This window comes from Homo sapiens, chromosome 21 (genome assembly GCF_000001405.40).
Source record: "Homo sapiens chromosome 21, GRCh38.p14 Primary Assembly".
NCBI lineage: Eukaryota > Metazoa > Chordata > Mammalia > Primates > Hominidae > Homo > Homo sapiens.
The window spans coordinates 36,425,914-36,440,222 of NC_000021.9; the positions used below are offsets into that span (position 1 = coordinate 36,425,914).

The 14,309-nt window shown below is 48.3% G+C and overlaps 1 long non-coding RNA gene across 6 annotated transcripts in view, besides 2 other annotated features; it reads left to right on the forward strand.

Moving 5' to 3' along the window:
* Positions 4,251-5,126: an enhancer, noted in NCBI's record as "H3K27ac-H3K4me1 hESC enhancer chr21:37802462-37803337 (GRCh37/hg19 assembly coordinates)". NCBI's record gives its function as "activates a minimal SCP1, AML or CMV promoter by ChIP-STARR-seq in primed H9 embryonic stem cells {active_cell/tissue: H9 hESC(primed)}" and the evidence as "EXISTENCE:reporter gene assay evidence [ECO:0000049][PMID:30033119]".
* The window catches only part of CLDN14-AS1 (CLDN14 antisense RNA 1), a 68,202-nt gene continuing 58,304 nt past the window's right edge, over positions 4,412-14,309 (forward strand). For 5 of the 6 annotated variants that reach the window (NR_183529.1, NR_183530.1, NR_183531.1 and 2 more), the window contains exon 1: positions 4,412-4,499. This is a non-coding gene — a long non-coding RNA (CLDN14 antisense RNA 1). Of the gene's footprint in view, positions 4,500-4,996; positions 7,795-14,309 lie in introns of those variants that run through there. The other variant, NR_183534.1, reaches the window with a different exon arrangement.
* Positions 4,413-4,472: an enhancer, noted in NCBI's record as "active region_18433". NCBI's record gives its function as "activates an Ori minimal core promoter by ATAC-STARR-seq in GM12878 lymphoblastoid cells {active_cell/tissue: GM12878}" and the evidence as "EXISTENCE:reporter gene assay evidence [ECO:0000049][PMID:35858748]".

Below are 14,309 nucleotides of genomic sequence, written 5' to 3' on the forward strand. Positions count from 1 at the left end.
CCACTACAATCCAGCCTGGGCAACAGAGTAAGACTCTGTCTTAAAAACAAACAAACAAAAAACAGAGCAAGATTCTATCCACCAAGCCAGTGTGAAATGGAATACTGGAGCTCATGTGTATTAGTTTCTAGGGCTGCCATAATACTTCGTCAAGAGTGGCTTGAAACAACAGAAATGTATTCTGTCAGTTCTGGAGGCCAGAAGTCCTAAGTCAAGGGGTCGGCAGGGCCCCACACCTTCCAAAGGCTGCAGGGGAGAATCCTTCCTTGCCTCCTCCAGCTCCTGCCGGCTTCTGGTCTTCCCTGGCTTGCAGCCACGTCACTCCAACCTCTGCCTCCATCTTCACGTGGCCTTCTCCTGTCTTCCCATCTTTTTCTTTCCCTTCTCTTCTAAGTACACTTGCCATTGGCTTTAGAGTCCACCCTAATTCAGGATGATATCTCAAGATTCTTTTTTCTTTATTTTTTTTGAGATGGAGCCTTGCTCTGTCACCCAGCCTGGAGTGCAGTGGCATGATCTTGGCTCACTGCAACCTCCGCCTCCTGGGTTCAAGTGATTCTTCTGCCTCAGCCTCCCGAGTAGCTGGGATTACAGGTGTTCACCACCACACCTGGCTAATTTTTTATATTTTTGGTAGAGATGGGGTTACACCATGTTGACCAGGCTGGTCTTGAACTCCTGACCTCAGGTGATCCACCTGCTTTGCCCTCTCAAATTGCTGGGATTACAGTTGTGAGCCTCTGTGCCCGGCCTCAAGATAATTCCCACGTGTCATGGGAGGGACCTGGTGGGAGGTAATTGAATCATGGTGGCAGGTTGTTCCTGTGCTGTTGTCATGATAGTGAATAAGTCTCATGAGATCTGATGGTTTTATAAAGGGCAGTTCCCCTGCACATGCTGTCTTACCTACTGCCATGTAAGACGTGACTTTGCTTCTCCTTTGCCTTCTGCCATGATTGTGAGGCCTCCCCACCCATGTGGAACTGTGAGTTAATTAAACCTCTTTTTCTTTATAAATTACTCAGTCTTAGGTATTTCTTCATAGCAGTATGAAAATGGACGAATACACGAATTATATTTGCAAAGATGTGATTTCCAAATTAGGTCACATTCTTAGGTTTCGGGTGGACACAAAATTTGGAGGGACAGGATTCAACCCTCTACACTATACCATGAGATAGGCCTGTGAAGAGGGCTGGCTGGAAGATGGACAGCAGTTTCACAACATATAGTGGCTAATCCCAAGCCAGGAAGAAACCACTGTAATTGCAGAAATGCAGCATGTCCTTGGAACTGTCCTCATCTGGCTAGGCATGGCCCCTCTGAAGGTTCCTTTGCCTTGGCTGGTGGTGGCTGGAGGAGAGGAGGCGATGGCGTGTGGGCAGCCAGAGGGGCTGCTGAAGTTAGCCGCACGGCACCAGCATTAGCTCCCAGATCCTCACACAGTTCTTGGAGGTATGAGGAAACCGAGGCACAGGGAGCATAAGAAACTTGCTCATAGTCTTAAACTTGCAGGTAGTAACTGACTGGGAGCTAGCTGGCTCCAAAGCCTGTGGTCCCACCCACTCTGATACCTGGCTGGAATCCCATCTTTACCTGGGGAACGTGGGAACATAGCGAGCCAGAACCTGGGTTTCCCAGGGCATAGGAGAAGCTCCAGGAGCTCAAGTGAAGCTGGACCAAACTCACTCCATCCCTCCTCGAGGATGGATTTTTCTTTCACTAGTAAAAGGGTGAAAAGATGCACTTTGGGAGGGTGAAGTGGGAGGATCACTTGGTCCCAGGAGTTTGAGATCAGCCTGGGCAACATAGCAAGACCCCATCTCAAAAAAAAAAAAAAGAATGAAAAGACTTGCCACCTGACAGTCCGGTGAAGGTGGCAGGCATCTGGCTTATCTTTTCTGAGCTCAGCTCTACCATGAGAGGTTGGACTGGGTCACTCCAACCCACAGGGGACCATGGAGACAGCTTGTGAGAGAGCCCTAGAGTAGAAGGGAAGATGAGGGATTTTGAGGTGGAGGCTTCAGTGAAAGGGAAAAGGATTTCTGGGCTTGACTGTGGTCCCCACCCCATGCAGCAGGTGGTCCCAGAAGGCCGCAATGGACAACAGGGGTAGGGGAGTCACAGGAGAGTGGACCTATTTTTATTTTATTTATTTTATTTTATTTATTTATTTTTTTGAGACAGAGTCTTGCTCTGTCGCCAGGCTGGAGTGCACAGGTGCGATCTTGGCTCACTGCAACCTCCACCTCCCGGGTTCAAGCAATTCTCCTGCCTCAGCCTCCTGAGTAGCTGGGATTACAGGCGTGCACCACCACGCTCAGCTAATTTTTGTATTTTTAGTAGAGACGGGGTTTCACCATGTTGGCCAGGCTGGTCTCGAACTCCTGACCTCAAGTGACCCACCCGCCTCGGCCTCCCAAAGTGCTGAGATTACAGGTGTGAGCCACCACGCCTGGGCTATTTTTATTTTTTAATTTTTTTGAGATGGAGTCTTGCTCTGTTGCCCAGGCTGGAGTGCAGTGGCATAATCTCAGCTCACTGCAACCTCCACCTCCTGGGTTCAAGGGATTCTCATGCCTCACCCCCCCCCACCCCCAAATAGCTGGGATTACAGACGCATCCCACCACACCCAGCTAATTTTTGTATTTTTAGTAGAGATCACCATGTTGGCTAGGCTGGTCTCGAACTCCTGACCTCAGGTGACCTGCCCACCTTGGCCTCTCAAACTGTTCGGATTACAGGTGTGAGCCACCGTGCCCAGCCGGACCTATTTTTAAAAGCATGTTTATATAAGGCTGACTTGAGGGATGACATTTAAGCCAGTAGAGGCTTGAAATACAAAGAGAAGTGGAGGCGGGCATTTCAGGCACAGGAAATAGCCAGAAGGCCTTGAAATGGGAAGACCTGGCCTATTTGAGGAACAGACAGACAGACACTCGTGTGGCTGGAGCTTTGTGCGGCAGCAGGCAGAGAGTGTGTGCTGAGGACAGACGGGAGTCGAGTGTATTCACAGCACACAGGGGACTCCTCATCTGCATTTTAGAAAGAGCTCTCTGGATGCCATGTGGGCAATGAACTGTGGACAGAATCCTAGCCAGGCAGTGACTGCAATAGTCCAGACAGCGGGGACGGACCTGGGCCAGATGCTGGCTTGCAGGGTGGAGGGATAGGCGCATTTGAGGGGTGTTTTGGAGCTCAAGATGGCAGTCATGACTTTGCTGATGATGTGAAATTTTAGGACTGTGTTATTGGAGAGGCCTTAGAGATTTGAATTTTACAGCCAGAAGCAGCCAACCCAGTGGGATTGCCCATGTCTGCCCAGTTTCCCTGAACTCCCCTTCTGGGTGAAGAAGGGACGGCGGCCTGGGAAGGGTAGGTGCTTGTGTTGATCTGTCCAAGGAGCAGACACCAAATTCGCTTTCAAGGAAGTGGAGCCCAGGGCTGGGCTATTTTCCTCTTTTCCACAAGGGACACTTTTCACATAACCCACCCTCCTTCCAACACAGGGATACCGTTCACTCCATCGTGCTTCGTCTCACTCAGCCTCAGCTTGAAGCCCTCTGGCAACGGGGAGCTCATCACTTTGTGAGCTCAGCCCTAGACACTTTTCCCAGTCAGCCCTAGGCAGGCACCTCCTCCACATGTGGAATCAAAACCCAGCTCTTTGGTCAGGCGCGGTGGCGCACGCCTGTAATCCCAGCACTTTGGGGGGCCAGGGCAGGCAGACTGCTTGAGCCCAGGAGTTCAAGACCAGCCTGGACAACATGGTGAAACCCTGTCTCTACAAATTACAAAAAATTAGCCAGATGTGGTGGCACGTGCCTGTAGTCCCAGCTTCTCAGGAGGCTAAGGTGGGAGGATCATCTGAGCCCAGCGAGGTTGAGGCTGCAGTGAGCCGAGATCGCACCACTGTGCTGCAGCCTGGGCAACAGAGTGAGAACAAAACCCCAGCTCTAGGTGTGCCCTCGGCCCCTCCAGGCAGCCTGTGTCCTCTCCCCAGGATTTAAGATCATGCCGCTCTTGTTTTGGGCTTTTTCAGGACAGTTAACTCTTAGGAAGAAGGGACCTCCAAACCTCTAAGTCGCCAAACCACCGCACCGCCCTGGGTGGAAGAAACCGCTTCGGCAGCAGAGGAAACAGCAGCTTCGCAGAGCAGCCTGGCCCGAGTGGCTACACCGGGTCTGTCTGGTCTCAGCTCTGGCCTCTGAGTCATTAGCGTTGTTTTCTTCTGAGGCCAGGGCTTCAGATTAGTCAGGGGCTCCTGTTTCCTGGCTGATAAAGCAGGTGGAAGAAACACAATCTGGCCGCCTAGAGGCTGCGTGAAGCTCGTGACCCTGCGGGGTGACTAACGGAGCTCAGCTGGGTGGGACCAGAAACCACGTCTGGGCACTCCTGAGTCACAGGCTCAGAAGCTTTCGCCTCCGCCTTCAGACTGGCCCTCAGGCTTCCCTGCTCAGAGGCAGGGAATTGTGCAGCTGGAGTTTCATTTTCCAAGGTAACGTAGGGTTTTTATACTGTGCTAAATGAGAGAATGGGAAATGGAGCCTGGGTTGAGATGCCCACAGTGTAACACAAGCCTGCGGCGGGGGAGTCGGTTTCTCTGGGCGAGTACTTTTTTTTTTTTTTCTTTGAGACATAGTCTCACTCTTTCGCCCAGGCTCCAGTGCAGTGGTACCATCTCGGCTCGCTGCAGCCTCGACAGCCCGGGCTCAAGCAATCCTCCCACCTCAGCCCCACAAATAGCTGGGACTACAGGCATGTGCCACTACACCTGGCTAATTTTTGTATTTTTTGTAGAGATGGGGTTTCACTGTGTTGCTGGATCAAATGCTGTAAAGGGTTGAATTATGTACTCCCAAAAAGATACTTGAAGTCCTAACCACCAGTACCTCAGCATGTAATGTTATTTGGAAATAAGGAGGGTCTTTACAGATGTAATCAACTTAAAATGTCACACCCTAAAGCAGTATGACTTGTGTCCTTCTAAAACAGGGAGATGTGGACACACGTAGACATGTATGGAGGGAGGATGTTGTGGACACCCAGGGAGAAGGTGGCACCAACAAGCCAGGTACGCCAAAAGCTGGGAGAGCCTGGAACAGATCCTTCCCTTGTGGAAGGAGCCAACTCAGCCAAGACCTTGATATCGGTTTTGTTTTGTTTTGTTTCTCAAGACGGAGTCTGGCTCTGTTGCCCATGCTGGAGTGCAATGGTGTGATCTCATCTCACTGCAACCTCCACCCTCCAGGTTCAAGCAATTCTCCTGCCTCAGCCTTCTGAGTAGCTGGGATTACAGGCACCTGCCACCACACCTGGGTAGTTTTTTGTATTTTTAGTAGAGACAGGGTTTCACCATGTTGGCCAGGCTGGTCTCCAACTCCTGACCTCAAGTGATCTGCCTGCCTTGGCCTCCCAAAGTGGTGGGATTACAGGCATGATCCATTGTGCCTGCCAAGACCTTGATTTTGGACTTCCCACCTGCAGAACTGGGAGACAGCATGTTTCTTTGTCTAAGCCACTAAGTTTGTGGTGCTTTGTTACGGCAGTCCTAAGAAACCAATTCTGTTTAGGATTTTGAGGAACTGCCAAATCACTTCCCTCCACAGCTGCACCACTTTCATTCCCACCAACAATGTAAGAGGCCACCAATTTCTCCACATCCCCGTCAAAACCTGCTATTTTCCATTTATTTATTTATTTATATTTTGAGTCGGCATCTTGCTCTGTCGCCCAGGCTGGAGTGCAGTGGTGCGATCTTGGCTCACTGCATCCTCTGCCTCCCAGGTTCAAGTGATTCTCCTGCCTCACCCTCCCAAGTAGCTGGGATTACAGGCGCCTGCCACCACGCCCGGCTGATTTTTGTCTATTTAGTAGAATTGGGGTTTTGCCATGTTGGCCCGGCTGATGTTGAACTCTTGACCTCAAGTGATCCACTCGCGTCAGCCTCCCAAAGTGCTGGGATTACAGACGTAAGCTACCATGCCCAGCCTTCCTTAAAAAAAATTTTAAAAATCGCTGTCCTAGTAAGCATGGGGTGGGATCTCACTGTGTCTTGACTTGCATTTCCCTAGTGAGTGCAGTGCTGAGCATCTTCACTGGCCATCTGTACGTCTTCTCTTATTTCTTATTTTTTTTTTATTTTTTTGTGATAGTCTCGCTCAGTCGCCCAGGCTGGAGTGCAGTGGTGTGATCTCGGCTCGATGCAACCTCCACCTCCCAGGTTCAAGTGACTCTCCTGCCCCAGCCTCCTGAATAGCTGGGACTACAGGCACCCGCCACCACGCCCAGCTAATTTTTTGTATTTTTAGTAGAGACGGGGGTTCACTGTGTTAGCCAGGATGGTCTCGATCTCCTGACCTCATGATCCGCCTGCCTCAGCCTCCCAAAGTGCTGGGACTACAGGTGTGAGCCACCACACCTGGCCCCTCTTCCTCTTATTTGTATTTAAGTCCCCAGTGCACAGCGCCCTGTCTGGTTTGCTCAGTCACTCTGTTTGGATGTGTGAGTGGATGGAAAGCCCTGGCCTTGGGCTTCCCCACCGCTTTCATTCAGTGTAGCCGGTTCATTAGGAACGTTACAGCAGCCCCATCCCATTGCTTCTCAGTGGGCTTAGAATAAACCTGAATTCCTGACACAGTCGTCATGGTGGCTCCCCCGCTCCCCACCCACTTCACTTCTTACTATTCCCCTCTCATGATCAAGGGAGACCATGAAATATAGTGTGCACATGGGGATATTTTTGAAAGATACACGAGGACAACAGACATCCACTGGGACTGTCTTAAGTACACCAGGAGGGGAGGTCAGCCTGGCCATTGCTCTCAGCCACACTGGCCCTAGTCTGTCCTTGAGCGTATCAGCTCTTGCCCGTGTGGGGCTTTGCACAGGCTGCCCTGGAGCCTGGATGGCTGTTCTCTTGCTTTTCTCCCTTCTGGCTCTTTCCTGGCCTGCGGGTTTCACCTCCAGCGTCTCCTTCTCAGGATGCCTCTGCCAACATGCCTGTCTAGGGGAGTCCTACTCTGTCACCCTCTCACTACTCCTTGCCTATTTTTTTTCATAGCATGGATCACAGTTTAGGATGATCAGTTCATTGCTTACCTGCTTTTTGTCTGCTTACTCTAGACTATTTATTTTTTATTTGAAACGGAATGGAACCAGCATGTTGCCCAGTGCCTGACAAAGTTAGATGACAAATCAATAGCTGTTGAAGGGATGAGTTACTCATAATGGTAAGAAAGGCACTGTCGTGTGGCTGTACAGATGACAGCTGGGAACTGATCAAACTTGTCTGAAGATCCACATTCTGTGAAGAGCAAACTCGCAAGCTGGAAAATATTAAACCAATGAGCAACGTTTGGCTCTCAAATTGTACTTTAACCAGGGCATGGGTTGGAATCATTGTCAATGGTGGTCATTTCTCCCTTAAGCTGTTGTGAAAATGGGTTTTTACAGCTCCTGGCTTCTTTCTTGTAGTTACTCATCCCCCCCCACTGCCATTCACTACCACCCCCACAATCCACCTGACACCTACCCATCCACCCACCCACCCACCATTCCAACCAATGTCCACACACTGTGCACCGTCTGCCTACCATCTAACCTCCCACCCCCTCCCACACCCATGAAGCCAGCACACACCCACCCATCCGTGGCACTTGGGCGTGGTTGTGTGGCCCCACAGGAGGCTGAGTATTGCCAGTGGGGGGAGTGGTTGGCTTAGGGGAGCTCCCCTTCAAAGTGTCCAAAGATGAAGGTTATATGTGAATAAAACAATGAGGAGAGATACCTGAGATTTCTGTCCAGACCTGGTGATTTGGGGACACAGGAAGGCCCAGCCACAGAGGCAGATATGGTTATTCCAAAGATCAGCCTGTGCCTCTATCTGCCTGGACCCAGTGGTTCTGTGCTTGACAATCTCCCACCCAAGGGGAGAGTCGTAGGGTGTCAGAAAGGGCCTCGAGGACGCTGCTGCTTTCACATGCAGCCCTTGCTTCTTTTTTTTTTTTGAGACGGAGTCTCGATCTGTCACCCAGGCTGGAGTGCAGTGGTGTAATCTCGGCTCACTGTAACTTCCACCTCTGGGGTTCAAGCGATTCTCCAGCCTCAGCCTCCTGAGTAGCTGGTATTACAGGCACACAACACCACGCCTGGCTAATTTTTGTATTTTTAGTAGAGACGGGGTTTTACCATGTTGGTCAGGCTGGTCTCAAACTCCTGACCTCGTGATCTGCCTGCCTCGGCCTCCCAAAGTGCCAGGATTACAGGCATGAGCCACCACCCGGCCAGCCCTTGCTTCTTTCTTGCCACCAGAAGATGAAAGAGAAAGTGTTTGGAGCCATAGAATGTTGAGCGTTACCAGGGCCTTCAGCTCCAGCCAATCCCTCCTTTGCAGAGGAGGAAGCCTGGGCCAGGGGCTACTGTTACCAGGGCCAACCTTAGAGAGGATGCGATTCTGTTGTTTCATGGGACGTCCCCTTCTCTAACTCTGTAGTCTTTGGGAGATCACCATGCCTGCATGCCATTTAGCTGGCAGTAAACAGGGTTACTTTCTTTGTGTCTTTTAAAGTTTTAAACGCTTGCTACAGACTAGGGAATTCTTTGTGTCTTAAACACAAGGGTGCTAACATCTATTGAAGAAGTCACACCAATGTTGTCTGGGGTTTTAATTTACACTGGCTTATCTTATGCCTGGAGAGCCCCTTCTGGAAAAGTTTGCAGTCAAAGGGAAGCCAGAGCCCTAGTTCAAGGGAGGGAGGTTGCTGAGAATTAGCCAGGTGGTTTAAGCACCCGGCAAGCCTCAGTAATGGAGCGTGATGTATAACCCTGGGCTCTCCCTGCAGCCTCTCGGCATATCACTCACACCTTCTAGGCTGTCCTGTTGAGACTTGTGCCTGCTCCTGCAGAGCGCTGGGGCCTCTGAATGTTATTTCTCCTGCCTGACAAATCCAGACTTTCCCAAATTCAAAAGCACACCTCAAAAGAGAGATTACTTTATCGATGCCCTGGCAAGTACATTTTCCACCCCCACCATCCTGCCAAGTCCCCCATATTCTGCTATGGATTTGGCTTTTCACAGACTTATTTATTTAGTCCATTTAGAAAAACTGTACCTTTGGAGATAAAAGGTAGTGTAAAGAGAGGAAATAACAGTGGGAATACAGAAAAAAACAAAAGGCAGTGACCAGCATGCGTTAAAAGTCAATAAAATGCGGCCAGGTGCAGTGACTCACGCCTGCAATCCCAGCACTTTGGGAAGCCAAGGCAGGCGGATCACTTGAGGTCAGGAGTTCAAGACCAGCCTGGCCAAAATGGTGAAACCCTGTCTCTACTAAAAATACAAAAATCAGCCAGGCATGATGGGGGGCGCCTGTAATCCCAGTTACTCTGGAGGCTGAGGTGAGAGAATTGCTTGAACCCGGGAGGCGGAGGTTACAGTGAGTCAAGATCACACCATTGCACTCCAGCCTGGGCAACAGAGCGAGACTCTGTCTCAGGGAAGAAAAAAAAAAACAATAAAATGCCTATTTGAAAGGGTTCTTCTTTGGTTCTCTTGTAATGGATTGACTGAGACTCCCCTCTCCGCAGTGCTAATGCTCAAAGGGAAAAGTGTCTTTACAAGCAGGCCCCATTTGCAGTGATATTCCAGAAGGCAGATGCCCCGGCCTGGCTATGTGTATGTCTGTGCTTCCTGGCCAGCTGCAGTTGAGGCTTCTCCTGCATGCATCTGTTATTGGTCCCCAGTTTTCTAGCGTGGGGATCAGAAGTGGTATCAACTGTTAGAGGGTTGGGGCAACTCTTAGAATTATGAATTTTCAGCCAGGCACTGTGGCTCATGCCTGTAATCCCAGCACTTTGGGAGGCTGAGGCGGGTGGATCACCTGAGGTCAGGAGTTCCAGACCAGCCTGGCCAACATGATGAAACCCTGTCTCTACGAAAAATACAAAAATTAGCCAGGTGTGGTGACAGACGCCTGTAATCCCAGCTACTCGGGAGGCTGGGACACAAGAATGGCTTGAACCTGGGACACAAGAATGGCTTGAACCTGGGAGGCGGAGGTTGCAGTGAGCCTAGATTGTGCCACTGCACTCCAGCCTGAGCGACACAGCAGGACTCCATCTCAAAAAAAAAAAAAGAATTATGAATTTTCTTTTTTTTTCTTTTAAAAGTCATTCTTGGCCAGGTGTGGTGGCTCACGCCTGTTATCCCAACACTTTGGGAGGCCAAGGCGGGCAGATCACCTGAGAGATCAGGAGTTCAAGATCAGCCTGGCCAACATGGTGAAACCCCATCTCTGCTAAAATACAAAAATTATCTGGGCATGATGGTGCACGCCTATAGTCCCAGCTACTTGAGAGGATGAGGCACGAGAATCACTTGAACCCAGGAGGTGGAAGTTGCAGCGAGCCGAGATCCAAGATGGCACCACTGTACTCCAGCCTGGGCAACAGAACGAGACTCCATCTCAAAAAAAAAAAAAAAAAAAAAAATCATTCTTTGCCAGACCAACAATTCAGGCAGGTTACGGCAACAGGAGAGGATCCCACAGCTTGCTGAGCTTTGGGGTCATCTATAAATCTGTTTGCTGCTAATTTTCCTGGCACTTTGGTAGGTCAAGGCCGGCAGAGACCAGACTGGCCAACACGACGAAACCCCGTTCTACTAAAAATACAAAACAAATTAGCTGGGTATGGTGGCATATACCTGTAATCCCAGCTTCTTAGGAGGCTGAGGCAGGAGAAATGCTTGAACCAGGGAGGCAGAGATTGCAGTGAGCCGAGATCACCCCGCTGCACTCCAGCCTAGGCAACAGAACGAGACTCTGTCAAAAAAAAAAAAAATTAGAAGGAGCCAGAAGCTAGACCTGGAATGCAGTAATGTCAAGACAGCTAATATTGGTCTCCTGGACAAATAATAACTGATCAAGTAAACTTTAAGTTGTGGCTTAAAAATGGCACCCCACTATGTATGTGTGTGTGTGTATATATATACACACACATATATATATACACACACACACACATATATGTATATATAAGTGAATACCAGATAGTTGAAAGATTTAAACATAAACTACTTCATGTCTGTTGCCTCATGGTCACAAAGTGGCTGCTCACCTCCAGCATCACGTTTTTTAGGCACTGTTAAAAAGCTGCTAAAATGACTTCCTGGAAGCCTTGGTAATTTCCACTTACATTTCACTGGCCAAGATCTAGCTGTAAGAGAGATTGGGAAAAACGAATGTCTTTATCTGGGTACATTGCTCACCCCAAACAATACTGGAGTTTTTAAAAGAAAAAATGATAGAAGGGATAATAGGTATACAACTAGTAGCATCTGCCCAGTGTCTCACTGACTAATTGTTGTAAGATGTTGGGGGAAGAGAGAAACAAGAATGACATCTGGGCTCTAGGCCCCAGGGACTGGGAAGCCAATGACACTGTCTACTGATTTGGAAACATAAGGTTGGGAAATCAATACTTCTCTTTTAGCCATATTCAGTTTGAGATGCCTGTGAGATTTCTGAGTAGAGAAATCAAGGAGACAGTGGAACATGCATACCTGCAGCTCCAGGATATACAGATTTGAGAGAGCAGCATATGAATGAAATTTTAAAACCATGGACTGGATGACATCACCAGGCAGAGAAGAGGAGAAAGTCTAGGACAGGCTGGATACAGTGGCTCATGCCTGTAATCCCAGCACTTTGAGAGGCAGAGGTGGGTGGATCACCTGAGGTCAGGAGTTCAAGACCAGCCTAACCAACATGGCGAAACCCTGGTTCTACTAAAAATACAAAAATTAGTCGGGCATGGTGGCGGGCACCTGTAATCCCAGCTACTTGAACCTGGGAGGCAGAGGTTGCAGTGAGCCAAGATCGTGCCTCTGCACTCCAGCCTGGGCGATAAGAGTGAAACTCTGTCTCAAAAAAAAAAAAAAAAGGTCAGGACAGAGACCTGGGTCTGGAGGGAGGAAGAGCAAACGAAGAGATTGCACCAGAACCTGCAGTGTTCCCCCAAGCCCCAGGAGGAAGGTTTCCAGGATGAAGAAGTGGTCAAATATGTGACTTGGCTGCTGCCACTGTGAGTAAGATAAGGATAGAAAACCAGCTGGTGGTTTTGGCAAAATACGGGCCATTCGTGTCCTTGATAAGAACTTTTACTCACTGTCTGGTGGACGTAGCCACTCCCTTAATGATGCACACTTGACTTGTCTTTTTTTTTTTTTTTTTTTGACCCCCCAGATCCCATAGACTGAGAGTTGTATCTTGTTTTCTCTGCTTTTTTGCTAATGAAGGCAATGCTACAATGAGAATCTTGTGCATATATGTTTGCAAACCTGTGAAAGTATTTCTTTTGGATAAGGCCTAGAAACCATTGAGTCAAAAAGTATGCATATGTTAAATTGTAATCCATATCATCAGATGTCTACTAAATAGTTATACCGATTTACATTCCCACCAGCAGTGTTTTTGAGTTTTAGTTTCACATAAAATTGTATCTTTGCTAATCTGGTAGTTGAAAACTCTTGTTAACTTCATTTGAACTTCTTTTTTTTCCATTGGATATTTGCATTCATATTTTTCCCCATGTTTCTTTTCAGTTATTCTTTTTTCTTTTCTTTTCTTTTTTTTTTTTTTTTTTTTGAGACGGAGTCTTACTCTTTCATCAGGCTGGAGTGCAGTGGCGTGATCTCGGCTCACTACAACCTCCACCTGCCGAGTTCAAGCGATTCTCCTGCCTCAGCCTCCTGAGTAGCTGGGAATACAGGCACCTGCCACCACGCTCAGCTAATTTTTGTATTTTCAGTAGAGACGGGGTTTCACTATGTTGGCCAGGATGGTCTGGATCTCTTGACCTCGTGATCCGCCTGCCTCGGCCTCCCAAAGTGCTGGGATTACTGACGTGAGCCACCGCGCCTGGCTCTTTTTTCTTGTTGATTTATCAGAGCTCATATATATACATATATATTTATATATACACATACACATATATAATTTTTTTCCAGTTTATGGTTACCTTTTGATTTTTAAGTGGTTTTTCTTGCCAACTTTAAATTCTGTATTTATTACATAGTTAAATTTGTCAGTTTTGTTCTTTTTTGCTTGGAAAGGCCTTCATCACCCCAATATTATAAAAATATTCATTTTCTTCTATGTTTTATAGTTTCTTTTTAAGATCGAATATTTGATCTCTATAGAGTTATTCTGGTATCAGAAGAGAGGTTGAAAGCCAGGCTTTATTTTCCAAGTGGTTAGCCAGCTGTTTCAACACCATTTCTTCAACAATTTATTTTTCCCCAATCAATTTAAAATGCCACTCTTATTATTCAATGAATATCCACATATTGGTGGCTCCATTTCTGAATTATTTTTTGTTCCATGAGTCTACCTATGAATTTGTCTACTGCTGTACCAGTACCATACTGTTTTAATCACTGTAGCTTTATGTGTCGGTTAGGAAGCCTTTCTGTTGCCAGTGCTGGAAAATCCATCTTAAACTGGTTTACGCACAGGGCAATGTATTGACTCAAATAAATGAAAAGACCGGGAGTGCTGAAAGTCACCAGGATCCTTTCTTTTTCCGTCACTTGACTTTGCTCCCAAACTACGCCAGAGCCCGTCTCTTTGAAGGTTCAAGTCCAGCTGCCTCTCTCTGGCTGCTGCACGAGCCCTGTTGGCTCTTATGGGCATTAATGGGATCACAGGCACATCCTGGGGCAGGCCTGAGTCAATGCCAGGGTGGAGTCAGCTTCACCCAAAGTACTTGGGCTAAGAGGGAAAATGGGGTCCCACGCAAGGAAAGTGGGTGTGTCACCGGAATGGAAGGTAAGAGCCAGTAGTAGCTGGGCAGTGAGACCAAAGGATGTCTTCCATTAGTGAATCACTGTCGGTCCCCTGCAGACCATGCGTCCCTTGTTTCTCCTCATTTCCATAAATTCCCTGGTTATTCTCATGTGTTAATTTTTTTTTTTTTTTTTGAGATGGAGTTTCGCTTTTGTTGTCCAGGCTGGAGTGCAATGGCACAATCTCGGCTCGCTGCAACCTCTGCCTCCTGGGTTCAAGTGATTCTCCTGACTCAGCCTCCCAGGTAGCTGGGATTACAGGTGCCTGCCATCACACCTGGCTAATTTTTGTATTTTAGTAGAGACGAGGTTTCACAATGTTGGTCAGGCTGGTCTTGAACTCCTGACCTCAGCTGATCCACCCACCTTGGCCTCCCAAAGTGCTGGGATTACAGGCGTGAGCCACCACGCCCAACCTCTCATGTGTTAATTCTTACATTTGAATTCAGAAAATAATTTTTT